At 38.6% G+C, this 22,878-nt stretch overlaps 1 protein-coding gene and 1 long non-coding RNA gene across 6 annotated transcripts in view, besides 1 other annotated feature; both read right to left on the reverse strand.

Annotated features, from left to right (window-relative positions):
• TMEM168 (transmembrane protein 168) overlaps positions 1–6,910 on the reverse strand; it is a 28,017-nt gene extending 21,107 nt beyond the window's left edge. The window contains exons 1-3 of one of the 5 annotated variants that reach the window (NM_001287497.2): positions 6,677–6,910; positions 4,971–5,061; positions 215–1,470 (exon numbers count right to left, since the gene is read on the reverse strand). In NM_001287497.2, coding sequence (NP_001274426.1) covers positions 215–1,342 — 1,128 coding nt within the window. In that variant the 5' untranslated portion in view covers positions 1,343–1,470; positions 4,971–5,061; positions 6,677–6,910. Of the gene's footprint in view, positions 1–214; positions 1,471–4,970; positions 5,062–5,794 lie in introns of all 5 variants that reach the window. The other 4 variants (XM_047420710.1, NM_022484.6, XM_017012523.3 and 1 more) reach the window with 4 other exon arrangements.
• Positions 7,169–7,298: an enhancer, noted in NCBI's record as "active region_26515". NCBI's record gives its function as "activates an Ori minimal core promoter by ATAC-STARR-seq in GM12878 lymphoblastoid cells {active_cell/tissue: GM12878}" and the evidence as "EXISTENCE:reporter gene assay evidence [ECO:0000049][PMID:35858748]".
• Positions 16,893–19,294, reverse strand: LOC124901729 (uncharacterized). The gene is made up of 2 exons (XR_007060481.1): positions 18,109–19,294; positions 16,893–17,633 (listed from the first exon to the last, which is right to left on the reverse strand). It is a non-coding gene; the product is annotated as an uncharacterized LOC124901729 (long non-coding RNA).
• Positions 19,295–22,878: the final 3,584 nt, after the last annotated feature.

The raw sequence follows: 22,878 nt of genomic DNA on the forward strand, positions 1-22,878 counted from the left end.
TGAGTGTTCATAACATTTTGGTACCTCTTTGCTAGAGATCAAATAAATTATCCTCTTGAAACACATTCAGTGCTTCAATTCCATGAACAAAATTAAGAGCAAACATGAATATCCTTTTGAAATCAGGAACTTGACCTTATAACTTTAATTTCAATTATTGAAGCTAGCATTTTATTACACGTCATTGGGGTTGCTGGACAAACAATAAGCTTACCTGCCAGGAAACTGCTCCCAAAATCGCTGTTGCAAGAAGACTAAAGAACACCAACTGCTCTGAAATCAAGCAAAAATGGCGCATCCCTTTGGATGCCATGATTCTATCAAGGCTATTGTAATCTGTCCTGTGAGTAAAATATACTTTATGGCAGTCATTTAATTTGGTATGGAATCCCCAAAGAGTTAAAAGAAAAATAATATGACAAATCATCCAGAAAATTCCAAAAATGGAAAAGCCAGGTATTACAAAATACCAGAGGTGAGTGTCTCTAAGTTTGAATGCGGAAAGAATAAAAAATGTAAGCTCAATCATTCCAGCAAAAACGACTGAAAGTCTTCTGCAAATTCTTCCACGGTACAAAAAGGGTTTCCATCTTTCAGTTACTGAAAGTCCACTAAAATAAATGTCAAGGAAAGGATCAGTTATCAGGCAAATAAAAAAACACGCAAAAGCAATCGGATTTTTGGGAGTTTCCAATGAGGAAAAAAATAACAAAACTGCAAAAATAACTAAGTTTGGAATAGCTAAGAAAGATTTCATTCTCAGATCAATAATCAGCATAGCCAGAGCTACAACAAGCAAAATGACACTCAGAGACTTCTCCACCAACATAGTTGTGCTGGCAATGGCAAATCCAACAAGCTCCAGAAATTCAACTGTGGTTAGTAAAGTGGGCCGATGACGGACATAACCAGAAATTCTCTCCACCAGAGAGCACAATATCCTTAACACTATGGATGTTAGAAGCAAATATTTGGTTGATTCTTCTTTTACATCATTTTTAAAGGATGAATTATCAAGAAAACATAGGAGGCCAAGCAAGAATCCAAACCAAAGATTGGAGAGACTTAAACTTGCTGCTTCCATTGAAAAATAGTAATAGAGTATGCTGGCGATTCCAAGAACAAAAAGACCAAGAATAAAAATTACCAAAATTAAGGAATTTGCTGTTTTTTCCCATCTTACGTATAGACCTAAGCATATAGCAACCAATAAATTGATTCTGGCTAAATAGCCAAGATACCGCACTGAAGAATGCATGTTCACTTCTCTATTTACTTCTTCCAGTCTTGTCATTGCTAAATAGAGACAATGACTAAAGCAATAACGCAGTGATTTACACATGTAACCAGCAATGTGGGCTTTTCCCTCACGTTACAAAAATTAACCGCTTGTATTTCATCCAGTATATCCAATGTATCCGCAACTCCTATTTCAACATTTTCTCTTGTGGAAATTTTGTTTATAGTGATCTAAAAAGAAGAAAACAATATTTCAGAGTTAATTTTATATAATTTACTCATTATTTTATATAAAGATGCATATAGAAAGTGAAAAAATCCAGTTTAAAAACTGAAATCCAGTTTACAACCTGATTTGCAATATCTTAATGAATACTGTTTCTGGCTTAAAACTTGGCAGTTTATCCAGACAGACATGGCTGTGCTTTCTACTCATCATATGCTATGACTGCATGAATAGAACTGTTCTTCCAGAGATGGTGAAGAATTCACCTAATTCATTCTGGTTTAAATATCTGGTTTTTCAACAACAAGGAAAGGTGAAATGTTCGCTTTAGCTTAGATTGTAGCAGGTTTTGGTACAAGAGAAAGCTACTTAGTTCTTAAAGTGAATGAAGGACTTCATCGTTACCTCTAATTTGAAAAGCACTTGTATATATTAGTAGTAACAGCAACCATTACGACCTGCCAAATATCCCCTACATCTTTTTACAAGCCAGCTCTAGAATGTTACACAAGGTCTTTACATTGTTTAACTAATAAACTTACTAGAATTAAAGTATTAAAGTTACTCAGTCCCTAAAGTTGAGCCATAATTCTCCCTGTACTTTTATCTCTATTAAATTACTTTGATTACTAAACTTGCTTTCCAAATCTAAACACTATCTCTATAGCAAACCAATTCCTGACAAATTCCGAGTCAAAAATGAAAAACTGAAATGCTCACCCTAATAGTCATTATAAAGTAAATGAAGAACTTTTCAATTCTACTTAAACAAACGTTACTACAAGTATTTGTTAGTGGACCCACGAAATTAAAGCTTCCACAAGTCACACCTAAAAAATGATAGTAGTCAAAAAATGATTTAACCATCTATAATAATTCTTCAAAATTTCCTAGTATACTGTTTCAAAAGAACTGATCAATGGTTCACGGTAATGCTATCTAAAGAGAACCCAATCAGATATTTAAAAAGAAACTAGGGCCAGGCACGGTGGCTCTCTCCTGCAATCCCAGAACTTTGGGAGGGTGAGGAAGGTGGATCACTTGAGGTCAGCAGTTCAAGACCAGCCTGGCCAACATGACAAAACCCTGTCTCTACTAAAAATACAAAAATTAGCCAGGTGTGGTGGGAGGCATCTGTAATGCCTCAAGAGGCTGAGACAGGAGAATCGCTTGAACCCAGGAGGCGGAGGTTGCAGTGAGCGGAGATCACGCCACTGGACTCCAGCCTGGGGGATAGAGCGAGACTCTGCCTCCAAAAATAAACAAAAAAAACCCACGAGTTTTTGATTAGTTTATTTGTACTTTCTTAATAGCTGTACACTAAAAGGCTCAAGAGAAACATGAGAACCTGGAATCAACTCTTAGTACTCATCTGGCTGGAGAGGAATGTTACTAAAGCAACCTTAGGGTCTCTGGGAAGTTCCGAGTATTATTACTTATTTTGCTTTTATACGTTCAACAAGCACATTTTTTTTTATTTTTACAACTAAGTCTATTTAAGTATTCCAACTGATTTTCCTTAATTACATCTTTATTCACTCATGTCTTAAGGTACCACATAATGTTAAAGAAAATGTCTTCCTTTGGTATATTTTGGTTTATCTTTTTAACTTGAGTGTGAGAAACTGACAAAATCTGGAATGCATTGAGTTTTTTTTTTTTAAACATCACTAATGTGTGTTATAAAATAATTCAACAAATACGTTAGAATATATATCCTCAAAGAGCTGATGGTACAATCTGGGCTCAGACTACTGAACACTGCTGGACGGGGGGAAGAAATTCACATACTAGGCTAAATGGTGCCACTCTAAATCCATGGAACATCCTTCCCTGGTCAACATTCTTCCCCATTCTTGTGACTATTCAAACCCCTATTTCCTCTCTTCAAATCTCTGATACCCTACTTCTTCCTACTGCATTCTCACCAGATGACTCTGCCTCCTAGAGAGTCATCAAAAGGGAGCTCACTTGAGTTTCCAAGTCCACAAACCCACCTCTACTTATATCTCCGAATATAAGGAAAGAAGGCAGTTGCTTCTCTATCTAAGGCTAAACCTTTCAGCCATATTGTGCATCTTTCCTTCCGCCTCTTCTAGAACATCAGACTCTCTCCTCTCTCTGCAAACTCTCACTTTTATTTTATCCATTAGTATTTAAACATTTATAAATCTGTTTCTTTTAAAAACAATACCAAAAAAGTAAAGAAACAAAACAAAAACAATCCTTGCTCATCCCCATATCCTCTATGAAGCTCAATCTCGTGTCCTTTTGACAGCTGGTATTTAGTTGCTTCACTTCTTACCCATTCACTTTTCAAACCACTAAATGGTGTTTCCCACCACACAACTGCTCTGCTAAGTGTTGAAATGACCTGTAAATTCCTAAATCCAATGGGTACTTTTCACTCAGTATCCTGCATATTCTTTTTTGGGGGGAGGGGGAAGGGGGGACGGAGTCTCGCTCTGTTGTCCAGGCTGGAGTGCAATGGCAGGATCTTGGCTCACTGCAACCTCCGACTATCGGGTTCAGGCGATTCTCCTGCAACCTCTGACTATCGGGTTCAAGTGATTCTCCTGCCTCAGCCTCCAGAGTAGCTGGGATTACAGGCGCCCATCGCCATGCCCAGTTAATTTTTGTATTTTTAGTAGAGACGGGGTTTCACCATATTGGCCAGGCTGGTCTCAAACTCCTGACCTCAGGTGATCCACCCGCCTCGCCTCCCAAAGTTCTGGGATTACAGGCGTGAGCCACTGCGACTGGCATTTTTTTTTTTTTTTTTTTTTTTTTTTTTTTTTTTTGAGACAGAGTTTCATTCTTGTTGCCCAGGCTGGAATACAATGGAGCGATCTCGGCTCACCGCAACCTCTGCCTCCCGGATTCAAGCGATTCTCCTGCCTCAGCCTCCCAAGTAGCTGGAATTACAGGCATGTGCCACCATGCCCGGCTAATTTTGTATTTTTAGTAGAGATGGGGTTTCTCCATGTTGGTCAGGCTGGTCTTGAACTCCCGACCTCAGGTGATCCGTCCGCCTTGGCCTCCCAAAGTGCTGGGATTACAGGTGTGAGCCACTGCACCCGGCCATATCCTGCATATTCTTTAAACAAATTTACATTGTTGACTTCTCTCACCTTCCAAACCATTCCTTTTTGCAGGCATCCAAAGACTAACTCCCCAGATTTTTTTTCTTAATTTATTGGTTTCCCCTCCTCGGTCTCCTTGAAGGTTCTTCATTCTCAACCCATCCTTTGGATGTTCAACCCCAAACCTAGGCTTTTCTCTCACTATATACTTTCTCTAAGCAATGTCATTTATTTCTATGTCTTTGATTATTATCTCTCTACTTAAGTGCACACATATATTAATCTACCTATAGAAAATGAAGCACCAGCTCTGTTCTGCACTGTTAACAGAGGTAAATACCTGGAAACAAAGTAAATGTAAACATGTAAAAAAAAAATTAGTGAAGTACAGTGCATCCATATAATGCAATATATGCAGTTACCTTCCTATGGACCAAAATCAACATGGCAGATTGTTTTTAAATGGCTAATTTACAAAACTCTTCCCCATTCTGATCTTCTTCAAAAGACAGCCTGAGTTAGAGAATAACAGAAAAACATTACATTCCTTTTCAATCGGTTTGCCGTCACTAATGATTCAATGGACAATTATTCCAGAGGTAGATGAAAATGGACCATAGAGGAGTCAATATGCATATGGGAAAAGCTAACCAATCACTGCCAGAGTCTGATTATTTCATAAAACCTTACATACTATTCTAACCCTCCTCTCCACCATCATCTACATTTAATCCTCACCAAGTCCTGTCTACTATTCTTCCTAAACATTTTTTAAATGTTTCTACTTCTCGTCCCCAGGGTCACCATCCCAATTTTGGCCACCATCATGTTGAACATTTCCCTGTATCCACTCTTGCCCTCTCTAAGAAGTGTACTTTTTAAAACCAAAATTTAGCACTCCACTATGTAAAATGCTCCAATGGCGTCCCATCACCCTTAGCAATAAAGTCAAAACTCCTTACAGTGCCTTATAAGGCACTCCGTGTTGGGCCTGAATAACTCTCCTGCCTTATCTGTTACCAGTTTTCCTCTCACACTTTATTTTCCAACCTTACTGACCTTTCAATTACAAACTGCACAAATGCTATTCCCTTGCCAGGTACACTCCTTTTCCTCCTCCTGGCCCCACCCCAGTGCTCACACCTGGCTTATTCCAACTCTTCAGGTCTCAGATAAATCATTTTCTTAAGAGATTATCCCTGCCCCCTCCCCATTACATGACCCCCATACTTTCTCTGTTACATACCATCACTTATTTCATGTCTGCATTTCCCACTAGATCAAAAGGTCTCTGAGGGTTTGTCTTCAATACTGTACACCCAGTGACTAGCAAAAATCCGGCATCAAGAAGGTATTCAATAAATACTTGTTGAAAAATAAAGACTAATAAAGAAATAACTACATTTAACAACAATAGTCACCATTGGACACTTACTAATGCCTAAAGAGAATACAGAACTTAGCTATATCCCACAACTAATAACTAGTAGAACTAAGGGAGAGTCCATGAATGTTTGGTTTCTATTTCAGCTTTCCACCAGTCTTTACTTAATTCACCCAAATTCTTCCAAACCAATTCTCTCTCCATGTCCTACCTCTAGGGAATGGCTTGAGGCATACCGTATCACTTGCATTATCTTTCACTCAGAAACTCTGTCCCATCTAGAAGTGTCAAGGCTGAAAGAACTACACTGAAAAAACAGGGAATTTCAGTGCTTCAGTTCTGAATTACTGATAACTCTTTGAGCCATCTCATACGAGGAAAATGTCATCTAGAATATCAAACTCCTCAGCACTAGAGCAGCAACAGCAATTTCTCTCCCTTTCGGCCTCCTTCTAGCGAGATGTGGGAGGTCCGACAAGGAGCTTGGCTGTTCTCCACCATCCTCTGCCTCGGAGAACGCGACCACAACGTGGCGCCCAGTTGAGGGGGAACCCTTGCGAAATACGGAGAGGCGCTCCCACACCCTCCAATCTCCAACCACCACTGTCAACTCCTCCAGAGGCAGGTATCCTACCCCGGCCCTGGGAGGCCGACTGGGCGGAGCTTGGGGTCCGGACCACGCGGAGCCCTGGCAGTGTCTATGCCTAGATCTCGCCGCCCTGCCGTCCACCCATTTCTCCCTACCTGACTCGGCCGTCGCCACCAACGCGCTCTCCCAACCCTCGGAGTCAGTTCCAAAACCAAACCAAAAAGGAGGAGAGCAGACAAGGCTTCAGCCTGCGACTGAGAACAGGGAGGCGGCACGCCTTGGGGAACGAGGGCCCGAGGCCATACGCGCTAATACAGGCCAGTGTCGGCGTAAACTTTCTCCGTTACCGGCCCGGCCGCGACCGCCATGTTTCCGCCGCCGAAATCCGCGACGGTACGGAACGCCGCCGGGGTCAAACTGCGCGGCGCGCCTCCTTCCCGAGGCCCGGCCCCCTCCCCGCCCAAACCCGCGCGCCGCCACACACTCAGGTGAGCAAGGCGCTGCGCGAGTGTCAACTGCCCCACCTAAGGCGCCTGCCTTCCTCAAGCCAAAGTCGACTCCTGGGACCTGGAATCAGCAGCTGAGAACAGACAGCGGGAAGACCACCAAAGATCAGGCTGACAGTGCCCATCAAGCATCTAGGCCACCGCCTCGGGCTGGACCGAACGGGGACAGGGTGGACAGGACTGCCACGCGTGGGCTGTAAATACTGCGGGAGGCGTTGCTGCTCATTAATATATATGGCATAATATATGGCTTTGTAACCAGCTAAGGCCCAAGCTCCTTAGGCCCTCCCTCAGACCTTTCAGTTCCTCAAATGCAGGGACATGTCGGGTTTTGCTCAACATTAAATCACCTTAGCATAGTGCCTGACACATAGTTGGCACTTAAATATTTGTAAAATAATAATATGCAATAGGCTCTCCACGATCCGTAGTTCTCTCCTCCCACTTGTTTTGCATGTATTATCTATATATTTTTCCTATTTTCCATAATAGAGTGTGAATTTCCTAATTTTCATAATAGATGTTGGGGGTTGGTGTGGCCAGCACATCTATAGGAATGAACAACTCTCAGATTGAGATTCTGCATATGTGGATGAAAATTTTGAGTTAGATTCTCTCTAGACTCCTGATTTTAAAAGCAATCACAACTCAACTTCCCAAATCTGTAACTAGCTCTCTGGGGAACACGAGTGCCACATTTCCAACTACCTGCTAGATGTTTCTACTCAAATATATTGTCATCACTTCCAACTCAACTTGCCTTTAATGGACATTTATATACATTTATTATGCCCCCCATTTGAATCCCCTTCCGTATTTGGAGAATTCCCCACCTGAGTTAAGAGTCTAATGGCTGCCGCTGAAATGCTGAACACTTGTTTAACTAATCATGTGTACCCGCTGGAAGCCATGAGTCAAAAAAGGCACAGAAAGCTACACTCCCAGGTCACCTGTAGGAGTATAGCAAGTGTAGAGATCGAGAACCCATCCCTAACAGCAAGGTAAGCTTCCGAGGCAGTAGTGAGAGTGCTGGCATCCACCATTAACATGTCAGAGATGCAAGATGCCTGTGCTTGGTGAGGGTCACAACCCCAGAGCCCTTTCCCAATCTGTTCTGTAGCCTGTTAACAGTCTCTGTGTACATTTCTGGGTAGCCTGTGACAGACTCTGTACTACATAGCTGTGAGGCAGGACAATAGGGTCTGGAGGCAAGGAACTTACGGCTGATTCATGCTGACTTTCTAGAACTAAATCAAAAGGAAAGCCCCAACTTTCCACAGCTAAGTAACAAAGGGACCCGGCCCCCTCCCCCACCACCGCCCTTTTCTGCGTGGCAGACGGAAAATTGAAAGTACCTCGGATTGGTTGCTTTCCATAACTAATTAAATGTTTGCATAGGGTGTAACCTTTGTAACTTCGCTTCAGGCTCTGATTGGTTGCTTTCCGCTATCAGACTGATTGTGGGCCACTATATTTGCGTGGGGTGTACACCAAGTGGCCAATGGGAAACCTCTAGAGGGTGTTTATACCCCAGAAAATTCTATAACCCGGCCGCCCCGCTCTTGAGCCCCATGTTCCGGCTCTTCACACCCTGTGGAGTGTACTTTCATTTTCAATAAATCTCTGCTTTTGTTGCTTCATTCCTTCCTTGCTTTGTTTGTGCGTTTTGTCTAATTCCTTGTTCAAGATGCCAAGAACCTGGACACCTTCCACCGGTAACAGCCAAGGTAGATTCTGGCCATGTAGGTGCAAGCCTCAATCTCCAGCTATCCTTTGAACTACTTAGCGTCCTCTAGTAAACTTACTTTCTGCTTAAATTAGCTACAGCTGCATTCAGTTGCTTAGCACTAAGACCAGCTCACTAAATCAGTGGTTTTTCATCATCTTCCTCTAACATGGTCTTCTGCCTTATGACTTTAAAACCATTTTTGATGCTTGTTATCTTGTCCTTATACTTTAGAATACTTCAGTGAGATGTGTGTATGTTTGAAAGTTAATCTGCACAGCCCAGGGTGGGTAATTAGCATTTGAAAGACTAATCAAAAATGTTCACTGCAGAGTTGAATGCACAGATGCTTCCAGTATCACCATGTAAATCTGCACTAGATGTACCTTAGTTAGCATAAAGGATTAGAAAGAATTCTTCATTGTGGAAACAAGATGTTCAAAATACGTGGCTGGTTAGAATACTGTACAAGCACTTATGCATAACTGTGGCGTAGAAATCTGCTGTGTAGCAGACCGACAGCCTTCAGAATGGCTTAGTCTAGACTTCTGTTTAATATTTTGCCACAAAGTACTGTTTGTGTACTGTTTTTTGTGTCTGCTTGCTGATAAGATTTGTGTAGTAGCATTCAGTCTGAGACTTGTTTTAACTGTATGACACTACCTAGTACCGAGGGAGGAGAAAGATAGCCTTGTCAATCTTTAGTTATTGAAGGATACCAGTATTTACCAAAAAAAATTTGACACTTATGAATGACCAAGTGCTGTTCATTTTCATCCACCCTATCTCTTGCATTTATTATTTCCCATCAACTTCTATTGCTTCTACTCTGTTACGGTATTACTTCAGTAACCTCTATGCTGGTCATCTTGATTTCAGCCTCAGCTCAGTCTAACCCATTACACAGGCCCCTGGCTGATGCTCTCAGAGCACCATGCTTTGACACTTCTGGGATTAAAACCAGTGATTTATACAGGCTACAGAATAAAGTCCAAATTCAGTCTGGCACCTGAGGCCCTCAAGGACCCAATCTAAATCCCCCTTTATCCTGAAAGAAGAAAGGGTCAATTTGCGACATCTGGTACATCCGCAGCCAGACACCTAAATATAAAACAGCCACCTGGGAACCATTGCAGAGACTGGTGATTTCAGGTTCTGGTTAATGATGGCAGTATAATGATCCTAATCACTAGAATATCCATTCTTTAACACCTACTTCTATACAGACAAGGTCTGTGTGCTTCAGGCCAGGAATATCACCTGAGGAGTTATTTCAGACTAGGAACACCTGTTGAAAATATACTCATGATAATAAGTCAAGAAAAGGAAGAGGGAGCAGCACGCATCACAGGAGGTACGGTGGATCTTATCACACATTCCAGTCCTCTGGCAGGGAGTCACAGATGAGTCCTATGTTATTTCTTATGTTCTCTATTGTTTTTCTCCTATTTTTTCCATTTATTCAGTTCAGTCGTAGGGCTAAACTAACTCAGATTCTCCATAGAAAATCAGCTGGGCCTCCCTTATTCTGTGTAATATAAAGTACTTTCACCTATATTACATAATCTACACAAAAACCCAATGATGTAAATATTTTCATCACCATTTTGCAAATAATGTAACCAAGGTCCAGAGATACTACGTTGTTCTAGGTCCTCATAACTGTCTAAGATCAGGGAATTAAATTCAGTCTTTTGGCTTCAAGTTCTGGGCCATCAAGAGCAGCTTTCTAAATATCAACCCCCACTCTGTGAGGAAACACAGGTATTTCTTTCTCATTACTATTGTTTCAGTAAGTAGGGAAAGAGTTACATCATTCAGTCTACACCTTAGAATCATCTGGCCCAGACCAGTTAGAGTTTCTGAAATTAGCCTTGGGTGTGTGTGTGTGTGTGTGTGTGTGTGTGTGTGTGTGTGTGTTTTAAAGCCTCCCTCTTTTCCAGTGATTCTAATGTAAAGCACAGCTTGAAAACTACTAAGTTATTACCTCCATTAGTGCAGTGGTTCTTCAGGTATGGTCCCCAGACAAGCTGCATTAACATCACCTGGGACCTAGTTAGAAATGGAAATTATAAGGCCCTATCCCCAGACCTACTGAATCAGGAACTCTAAGGGTAGAGCCGAGATTTTGGGATTCGGTTCAGATGTGTGTATCAGAAGACTCAACAGTGTCTTAATTGCAGTTTATTTCTCTGTCTTGTAAAAACGGTCTAGAAGTAGGTGTTCCAGAGCAGACATCGTCCTCCTTGGTGTTAGAGATCCTGATTCCTTCTTTTTTTCTACCCTACCATTCTCAGGATGTGGCTTCCTCTTCATAGGCCAAGATGGCTGCCTGATTTCCAGCTATGACTTCTGAATTCCAGTCAGCAAGTAGGAAATGCACTTCCCCCCACCCTTACTTTGACACTTCTTGGAAGCCGTATGACACATCAGCTTATATCACATTGACTAGTATTTAGTATTTATAGAGTCTGCAAAAGGTGGTAATTTCGGGGGCGGCCATGTGCCCACCTAAAATCAGGGTTCTCTTTCAGAGAAAGGAGAATAAATATTGGATGACAGCAAGCAGTATTTGCCAGAGTTAACTAATTGCTTTTTTTCTACCTCCAAAATTCTAAAGTGAGATAATAAGCATCATAACTGTTTGAACACTTTTGGTTTGCTGTTCTAAGTGATGCTCCTTATTTCATTAGTCTTTTCACTGTATTAATGATGGCAAGTATTTATTCATATGGCTGAACTATGATTAATTCTTCCCCTAATTTTGAATATTTGGAATGTTACAATTTTTGCTGTTGAAAGTGCTGCACTAGGGCTTATTGCATTTGTGATGTACTGCATTTCTGATTATCACTTCGGAACGTAGATTCCTAGATAGGTTAAAGAATTTGAACATCGTTAAGGCTCTTTATTCATATGGCTGATTTTCTTGCAAGAAGGGAAACGTTTTGTGCTCCATTATAAGTGAACTACATTTTTGGCAGCAAAAAGTTTTGTCTTCTTAAACTTTTTGTTCTTTCAACATTTTGAAAATAGTGCATTACTATCTTCTTGCAACCTAATGATGCTGCTGAGAAATCTGATATCAATTTGATTTGCATTCCTTTGGAGGTAATCTGACCTTTCTCTCTTAGCTTTTAGAAAATTGTCTTTATCCTAAATGTTCTGAAATTCTACCATATTGAAGTGTAAGAAGACCCTATATTTTTATTTAGCAGTTCTTTTTTATTGAAGGATTGTAATCATTCTTAAATTCTGAAAAAAATATTGACCATAGATTTTTCCAGTATTTTCTTTCTTCCATCTTCTCTGTTCTCTTACTTAGAACTCCTATTTGTTGAAACTGTATCTAAACTTCCTTTCTCTTTTATATTTTGGATCTCTTGGCCAGCTGTGGTGACTCACACCTGTAATCCCAGCACCTTGGGAGGCCGAGGCGGGCACATCACCTGAGGTCAGGAGTTCAAGACCAGCCTGGCCAATGTGGTGAAACCCCGTGTCTACTAAAAATACAAAAATTAGCTGGGCGTGGTGGCAGGTGCCTGTAATCCCAGCTCCTCAGAAGGCTGAGGCAGGAGAATTGCTTGAACCCGGAAGGCAGAGGTTGCAGTGAGCGGAGATTGTGCCATTGCACTCCAGCCTGGGTGACAAGCGTGAGACTCTGTCACAAAAAAAAGAAAACATTTATATATATATATAATTTATGTATATCATATATATAATTTATATCATATATAATATCATATATTGATATATATGATATAAAAGAAAGGAAGTTTAAATACAGTTTCAACAAATAGGAGTTCTAAGTAAGAGAATAGAGAAGATGGAAGAAAAAATACTGGAAAAATCTATGGTCAATATTTTTTTCAGAATTTAAGAATGATTACAATCCTTCAATAAAAAAGAACTGCTAAATAAAAATATAGGGTCTTCTTACACTTAATATATAATATTAATATCATATTATGCTTAATATACAATATTATATATAATATAATCTTTAATATAATTAATATATATGTTATATAATATATAATATATATCATTATATATAATACATAATATATATCATTATATATAATATATAATATATCATTATATATAATATATTATATGTTACATATAATATATAATATATCATTATATATATCAGTTATATATTATATATAATATATCATTATATATAATATATCATATATCATGTTATATAATATGTATAATATATCATATATCATGATATATTATATATGATATATTATATATCATATATCATTATATAATATAATATATATTATATATAATGTATCATTATATAATATAATATATCATATATAATATATCATATATAATATATCATATATAATATATCATTATATATAATATATCATATATAATATATCATTATATATAATATATCATATATAATATATCATTATATATAATATATCATATATAATATATCATTATATATAATATATCATATATCATATATCATGTAATATAATATGTAATATATATCATGTAATATAATATATATCATGTAATATATAATATATATCATGTAATATAATATATTATATATCATGTAATATAATATATATCATGTAATATAATATATATCATGTAATATAATATATTATATATCATGTAATATAATATATTATATATCATGTAATATAATATATTATATATCATGTAATATAATATATAATATAGTATATACTGTAATATAATATATAATATATTATATACTATATACTATATAATATATACTATATATAATATATATTATATACTATATAATATATAGTATATACTATATATTATATACTATATATAATATATATTATATACTATATACTATATATAATATATATTACATACTATATACTATATATTATATATTATATACTATATATAATATATACTATACATAATATAATGATATACAATATATAACATATGTATTATACAATTATATATTTTATATATAAATATATATTATTAATTATTAATATATTAAATATATATTATATATAATATTATATAAATATATAATATAATTATATAAATATATAATTATATAAATATATATAATATAATTATATAAATATATATAATATAATTATATAAATTTATATAATTATATAAATATATAATATAATTATATAAATATATAATATAATTATATAAATAAATATAATTATATAAATATATAATATAATTATATAAATATATAATATAATTATATAAATATATATAATATAATTATATAAATATATAATTATATTATATATATAATATAATTATATAAATATATAATTATATTATATATATAATATAATTATATAAATATATAATTATATAAATATATAATATAATTATATAAATATATAATTATATAAATATACATAATATAATTATATAAATATATAATTATATAAATATATATAATATAATTATATAAATATATAATTATATAAAGATATATAAGATAATTATATAAATATATAATTATATAAAGATATATAAGATAATTATATAAATATATAATTATATAAAGATATATAAGATAATTATATAAATATATAATATAATTATATAAAGATATATAAGATAATTATATAAAGATATATAATATAATTATATAAAGATATAATATAATTATATAAAGATATATAATATAATTATATAAATATATAATATAATTATATAAAGATATATAATATAATTATATAAATATATAATATAATTATATAAATATATAATATAATTATATTGTATATAATATAATTATATAAAGATATATAATATAATTATATAAATATATAATATAATTATATAAATATATAATATAATTATGTAAATATATATAATATAATTTATAAATATATAATATAATTATATAAATATATATAATATAATTTATAAATATATAATATAATTATATAAATATATAATATAATTATATATAATCTCTTTATATATATTTATATATTATATATAATCTCTTTATATATTTATTATATATAATTATATCATATTATATATATAATTTTATTTCTTTGGAAGAATTCCTCAATGTTGCAGCCACCAATTTTCTTCTCAAGCTGTTGTCAACCAACAAGAGGCTAAAGACCAGACTACAATGCAATAAATCAGGGAATTTATTGGAGTCCTAGAAATTGCAATTTAAGAGTCACAGATTCAGCTGGAAGCCAAACTGTGTTGTGAAGAGAGGTGGAGAATAGGGGGTTTTAAGAAAAAATCAAAAAGAAGCTAAGGGTGATTACATAAGTTGTGTTGAAAGAATTATCATTGGTGAAGGGGGTGGCTTAGTACAGGAGTCCGTAGTTCTTTGATTGTTACTGTCAACATAAGAATCTTGAGATCTTAACTTTGGAGAGGAGACTTTCTTGTAAAGGGTTACAGCCTACCAGGCTGGCCATTCTGCAGCCTGGGAAGTACAGCCTCTAGCAGAGACCATTAGCAGGCACTTCTAGGAAGGGAAGGATGAGATAGAAATTTATTCTGAACAGGTTGGCTAAATATACATATTCATTAGCTTATAAGAGGACTTATGAATATTCACAAAGTGGGGATGTACACGTGTGTGATAAGCAAGCATGCATGTTACATGCATTCCATGTTCACTTTGGGACAGAGATTTAACATTGAAATGTATTACAGTTAGGCCCTATATGTCAAAAGGTGAAGTAGGGACACAAAGACACTCAAGTTCACAGCCTCTGTAAATCAGCCATCACCAGTCCATAGTCTGTGGTCTTTTATCCATGAAAGTTACTGATATAGGTCTCTTGTCCAATTAAAGCTGTAGGTATGGCTTGTGGAAGAGGGGATGAGTTAGCATTGGTGGTGGATGAGCTGCAATTGTTTTAATATTGCTTATCTCAAGGCCAGCACTTGTTTTGCTGATAGAGGAAAAGAAGAAGCAATTAGAACATAGTTTATTCTTAAAATGTAGGCATACATAACTTAACCCTTGCCTGGCATGACATTAGGTCTATTTATAATTTGGTATCTTCTTACTACAAAGAGTCCATTCTGTCAGTCTTATGAGCTCTATTTTAACATTAGACAACTGACCAGCATTAAGCTGCAGAAGGGAGGGGGTACAATGAGGCATGTCTGACCTCCCATCCCTTCATGGCCTGGAACTCAGTTTTTAAGGTTTCTCTGAAGTCCCCTTGGCCAAGAAGGGTCTGTTTGGTTGGCTGGGGGGCTTAGGATTTTATTTTTAGTTTTTATTGCTCAGGAATTAAATTCAGCTGTTTTCCAGGCTGCTGTGGACATGGAAGTTTGGCTCAGCTCAAAGGTACAAGACAAGTTTCTGGGTTTGTTTGGTTTTTTCTTCCTTCAAGTCTACGGGATATGCAGGCAGTCCTTCTTAGAATGGCTTCCCAATTCCATTTGAGAGCTTGAACCAGAGTGACACCATTTTGCGTATCACCTTTCACACTATCATTTTAAAATTTTCCCAGGTCACTTGTTTCATTTCTTGAAATGTCCATTAGCCTGTTATGATCTCCTGTTTCTTGTTTGGTGGCATTTACCATCTTTATCTTTTCAGGATATTAAATATACATGTTTTAAGCCCTGTTCTGAATACTCATTTTACTGTTTCATCAGCTTGTAAATTATTCTGTTTGTTGGATCTGTCATCTCTCTTTCGTGGTGTTGACTATCTCCAGATGTTAGGAGTATCTTGCTTTTCCATAGTAGCTTTTCTGCTGTGATCTCTGATGCTTCTTGCTTTAATGTCTTGCAGAGACTGAGTTTTCCTTACTTTCCTTATTTAAAATAGTGCTCACATTATTCTGCTGAGAATTACCCTCTGATTTCAATGCAGCTATATTTATATTAAATTCTTTTAGTATATTCTCTATTATTTTTCTTGACTCAGTGTAGGAAGGGGTTATTTCTGCATATGCTGATTCTGTCTTCTTGACATTCTGCATTATGTTTTATAATTGAATATTTTAAGGAAGATATTTTAAAATTTGGTCATGTCACTAATTTTTTTTCATGTTATACTGATGTAATGCTGAACCCCTATTAACCTCAACAGGGATGGCAACATGTTCAAGAGACTGAAGAAGAGACCCAGAGCCAGCAAACAGGACATAGGGCTTTATTAGCAGGAAACCTACAAAGAGGGAGGGCCAGTGGCGGCAGGCTGGACAGGAGAACCACACAGCCCAGTGAGGGGGTGCTGGGCTGGAGAACCATACGGCCCAGAGGCAGCAGGCTGGGCAGGAGAACTGTAACCACTTGCAAAAAGCATGTAGTTTATATAGCATTTTCACTAAGCACCCTCCCCCTAACCATCTTCACCTGGCAACCTTCACTTAACCCAAAACAAAGGGCCTCAATCCCCTGTATGGCCTGTGTTTCACTAGACAGGCCAGGGGCTCAGATGTTCCTCATAGATAAGGAATGAATGCCTGGGTTGGCCACTCCTGGATTCCTCAGCTTGGAACTCTGAACACACATTCAGGTGCCTCTGCCATACAGGGCCATTCTCAGGTTATGGCTAAGTTAAGGTACTGCTATCAGGTGCTTCTACCATACAGTCCACCCCAGCTACCCTGGAACAGCTCTCACATTTTTATCACGCTATTCTTCCATGATTTCCCTGGGGCCAGGTAATGTGGAGAAGCATCGCTGCCAGACTGCTGCAGCAGCAATGCAAACTAAAACAAAAAATAATCCAACTTGGGAGTTAATTTTGGATTCACCACAGCAGGCTTATGATGGAGGAGAGGGGCAGCTCTTCACAGGCCCAACAGTCTGTTTTGTTCTGGAGAGAGGCCACCATCTGTGCCCAGTTGGTAAAGAGGGTCTGCTGCACACCATCTGTGGGTGGAAGATGAGATGTTTAGTGGGTACAAGGAAGGGCAATAACAGCCGTTCAACAAGACACAGGAAGTTGTATTGTTCTGAGAAAGCGTCATCCTTGGCAGTGGCCTGGGACCTGGCTGACATCACCAAATGGATTGGCCCCCTCTGGGATGCATTGCGGGAGGCCAGAATAAGACAATGGGAGTATCATGATGTTTCATAATGAGAGGATGATCATCCCCTTTCACAAGGGAGGACCAGGATTCATTATTTTAGAAATATGATGGGGAGCAGGGCGCAAAATAGGTGTGACCTGTGTATCTTGGTCTAGGCCCTTCCCCCATGGAGTGGAAAAACCAAAGCATCGGGGACTGGCTTGCCATTTCCAAGACCACATAATGATGTGCTCCCCAGTGGACAGGTCCTGTGGCAAGGACAATCACAGGTTATCTTGAGTCTCAGGATGGGACAAAGGAGTATCGTCCCTTACCTTGTCCACCTGGATCCTGAGAGTGGTATCACGTTCTTGCATCGGAAGGACATAGGCACTGGTGATGAGAACGCCATGTTCATTCAGGGTGCAGACAACTGCTGGTAAATGGTGTGTCCACAGAGCCAGAGTGCGTCTCCTGCTGGAGTTGTTGCTTCAACAGTCCATTCATCCTTTAAATCAGCCCCACGGCTGCAGGGATGTACAGCAGGTGGAAATGTCAGTGGATATCCAGGGCCTCCACCCATTCCTACACTTTATGTCTGGTAAAGTGCAAGCCCTGGTCACTATTGATATTGGTGGGGACACCATAGGCCACACACAGCCACTCTAGTCCTTTTATGATAGTTTTCTGGGTAGCATGCTTGCTGGGATATGACTGTGGTAGCCCTGTGCAGGTGTCCACATAAGTCAAGGTATAGTAGCAGCCATTAGATAGAAACAAATGCCCTATGTAGTCTACCTGCCACCATTGTACTGGACTCTGGCCCCAGGGGATCTCTCCAGTATTGTGTGGCAAGGGCCTAGGGCATTCCTGTGCATGGGTAGGACATTGCTGACAGAGGTGTACTATGTCTTTATGTCATAGTGGCAGGCCCTAATTCTTCACTGTGGCCCAAAGGGAATGCTGTCCCCAAAGTCCTGTCTTTTTGGGCAGCCAGTGGGCCACGTCTGTGGGGACTACCTTGAAGAGATGAATGCAGGCTAGCTTGTTCTCATGTTGATTTCCAGATGGCGTAGATGCAGTGTGGGCATCCACATGGAAGACTGTTACATGCATTCCCTGGATGTGACAGAGAATGTCCTTCCACATGCCAGCACCCCAAAGCAGGCAGCCTGCTACTGTCCAATCCTGAGCTTCTCCTTGTGGTAGCCACATAGCAAGTCCCTTAAAGATGGCCCAGCTGTTGGTACACAAGACTATTGGGTCCGGCTCATAGAGGAGGATCGTCTAGGTGGCTCTCAGCTTAGCCCATTTGTTACTAAGTCCTAGGCCTGTATCAAGCCAGATCCTGTCAGTGGACAGCTGGATGGCTGCAGCTGTCCATGTGCAAGGATTGCCTCATAGCAAGCTCTCTGTGTACCAGATCTGGTCAAGAATTGGGCCCTGTCCCTCCTGTACAAAGGAGGAAATCTGTGGAGGTTCAGCGGCCTCTTTCAAAGACTGTCTTTCAGATGTTACATAGGTGACAGTACTGAGCACCAAATGGAGCTCTGTGCTCAAGGGGCTATTAATGAATGTGCTCCTTTGTTGAGGTATGCATGCCTTTTGGCTACAGTCTGTGTTTGGGCATTCCCAGGCTTTAGCTTCCGGAAGGTACCCTTTAGTCAACCTGCTATTGGTACTGGGTGCGTACTAGCACTAGGACCCACTTTGTAATGTCCTCCACTTATTGTAAAGCATACATAGCCCAGAGTTGTGGCACTCCAGCTAGCTGAAGCCCCCTTCCACAGCTGGGACCAGAATCCTAAAGGCACACATTTATGCCCTTGCCTTCACCACAGGCCCCACCCAAACCCCTCAGGGTAACTGGCTACGTTCAGTTCACAAGGCTGCCCCTGCACTACAAGTCCTAGGCTTGTATTTGTTTCACTGCAACTTTAGCTTGTTCAAAGGCCTCATCCTCCTTTGTGGACCAGTCCCAGTGGGCCCCCATCTTGACTAGCAGTATAGGGACCTAAGGAGTTGGGCCAAATGAGGAATAAAAGGATACCAACACTGTAGGAGGCCTAAGGAAGTTTGCAAGTGCTTTGGTGTGGTAGGACATGGGTAGGCCTACACCTTATCCATAAGAGCAGACTGAAAGACCTTCGTCTTACCCAACCAGATGACAACCAGACTGACAAACCTGGCCTCTGGTCTTTGTATGCGTTGACTGCCAATCCTTTGTTCGCCAAGTGAGAGGGTAAGGTGGGGGCTGTGCAGATTATAAGCCAGAAAAAGACCTAAAAGTTAATGGAAAACATGTATCCCCTCCAGGGTGGTATCCCTGGGCAAGACAGTCCATTGTTTTTCTTCCCATGTGAATGCAAATTGGTCTTGACTCTCTGAGGGCGATGGGGGATGCCGAAGGCATTGGCTATCAATAGCCAAATGGTATATGCCCATGGCTTCTCCTACCCTTGTCCCAAGAGAGGTGATATTGAGAACAGCCACATACACTGGGGGGACCACCTTACTTAATTCCTAGTAATCTACTGTTATTCTTTGTGTCCCATCAGGCTTCTGCATGGGCCATTCAGGGCTGTTGTATGGGCTGTGCACTGGCCTTATAGTGCCTGCCCAGGCTAACTCCCATATAGTCTCTGTGATTTCATCATGTCCCCACCCTTGCAGGTGGTATTGCTCAGCACCTCTACTCACGGCAGGGCTGGAAAGTGTCCTGGTGTCCATTTTGCATTCTCTGATCACAGGGTTCACCACCTAACTCTCCGTCAGAATTCCCCTGCAGTTGTTTGTGGGGTCAGGCCTGATAAGTTATCTACTCCCAAGATGTATTCTGGGATGGGAGCAAACTATAATTAGTCTACAAAATGTTGACCATTTAAATAAAAAATTTTCTAATGTATTAGTTGTAAAAGTGCCTCCTATCACTTCATATTTTTAATTAATACACTTAGTTTTAATGTCTTTTATCTGTTCTCCATGTACTCTCAAAAGTATCTTTTTCAATGCGTTCCACTGGTTTATTTTCTCTCTGCCTCACTCTTTATCTGTTCATTATTTGTTTATTTATTTATTTATTTATTTTGAGGCGGAATCTCGTTCTGTTGCCTAGGCTGGAGTACAGTGGCACGATCTCAGCTCACTGCACCCTCTGCCTCCCGGGTTTAAGTGATTCTCATGCCTCAGCCTCCCGAGTAGCTGGGACTACAGGGGTGCACCACCATGCTCAGCTAATTTTTGTATTTTTAGTAGAGACGGAGTTTCTCCATGTTGGCCAAGATGGTCTTGAACTCCTAACCTCGTGATCCATCTGCCTCAGCCTCTCAAAGTGCTGGGATTACAGGCATGAGCCTCCGTGCCCAGCCTGTTCATTATTTATTATATGAAGTGTATAGGGTAGTGATTAAGACCAGCAAAAGTTCTGGAGCTATTGACTGCCTGAGTTTGAATCCATCTGTGCCACTTACTAGCTCTGTTTCCCACGTGTACAATAGAAATAGTAATAATATTTAATTCATAGGGTTGTTGTGAGAATTAAATGAGTTAATATATGTCAGGTATTTAGAACAGTAAATACCTTACAGTAAGGTTCTCAATTATCTTAGCCTGACAGTAAGTTCCCAGTTGTTAGCCATTTTCATTTTTATATAGGCTAATTGAGCCAGGCTTCTTTCAGTTTTCCTCTTCTTTCATTTTTCAGACTGGCACCTTAGTACCCAGAGTTCAGCAGGGAGGCCAGGAACCTTGTTAGGAAGTAGGGAGAGGGGAGAAGTCTACAAATACTCATAATGTAATATCCATTCTTTTATCTTTGTCACATCTAATTATAAAAACAAAGACAAAAGAATAACTTCTGACTTTTACATGTAAACAGATTTAGCCCTATATTGCTTCCCCCTTTCCTCCTGCTTATCCAACTCTCACATATATCCTAAGATTTTAATAGTTTTTCTTCAACTGTGTAATAATTTTTAAGTGTGTTTATTTGATTTTAGTGTTTACCACATTTCCTTTAATACTGTAACCCAAATTATATCTGAAGTAGTGGCCCATGAGCTGTAAGGGAAATGTTTAAATAGACAGATTTTGAGATTTCAAACAAAATCTCCAGACCTGAATTCTTTGATATCCTCATTCCCAGGAGATTGTGATAAATGCCAGGTTTGAGAACCACTGTTTTAACCAATTGAGAAATGAAACAAAGTGAAAACTCAAGACTGGTGAGGGTAGTTGGGGAGAGTGGTGATGTGGTTGACCATTCTTTCTCTATTAGCTTGGAAGATCTATATTCTAGCTCTCATTCTACATCTCTGACTACTTTTTCTTCATTTTGTTTGTTCCAGTTTTTAAAAAACAGATCCCACTTTCTCTTAAATAGGTTCCCCGCCCCCCAACCCGGAGTCTATTTTGGTCCTCTCTTCCTTTGTTTGCTCTCTTAGATCTTAATATTAACTCTCACTTTTCTGCAAGCCTGTTCCCCAAGCCTGTTATACCTCAAGCTCTCAGGAAACCGAGGTCACATTTTCAACTTGTCTAAATTCTGTATCTCTGAAAACAAACCCTTCCCCTCTCATCTTTCTCTTTCATTCATTATGTATTCTCTACTCATCACCTGGGCTCCACCCTCTTCTCTTTCTACTGCCTCTATCAAAATTCATGCTCATTTCTGTTGGAATGCACTATAGTGTCCCCTCCACCTTCTGCCTCTTTAGTGCATCCCGGTATCAGATTAACCTTCCTAAAATATTATTCCATTATAGTGTAATGATTACACAATATAAAAAAAAACTTTTAGGTTCGGGGGTACATGTGAGGATATGTTACATAGGTAAATTCATGTCATGGGAGTTTGTTGTACAGATTATTTCATCACCCAGGAATTAAGCCCAATACCCAATAGTCATCTTGCTCCTCTCCCTCCTCCCACCCTGCACCTTCAGGTACACCCATGTCTGTCATTTCTGTCTTTGCGTTGGTAAGTTCTCTTCATTTAGCTCCCAATTGTGAGAACAAGCCGTATTCTGTAACACAGGTTTTCTGTTCCTGCGTTGTTTGCTAAGGATAATAGCCTGCAGCTCCATCCATATTCCCACAAGACATGA

The sequence above is a fragment of the Homo sapiens genome, chromosome 7 (assembly GCF_000001405.40).
Source record: "Homo sapiens chromosome 7, GRCh38.p14 Primary Assembly".
Classification (NCBI taxonomy): Eukaryota; Metazoa; Chordata; class Mammalia; order Primates; family Hominidae; genus Homo; species Homo sapiens.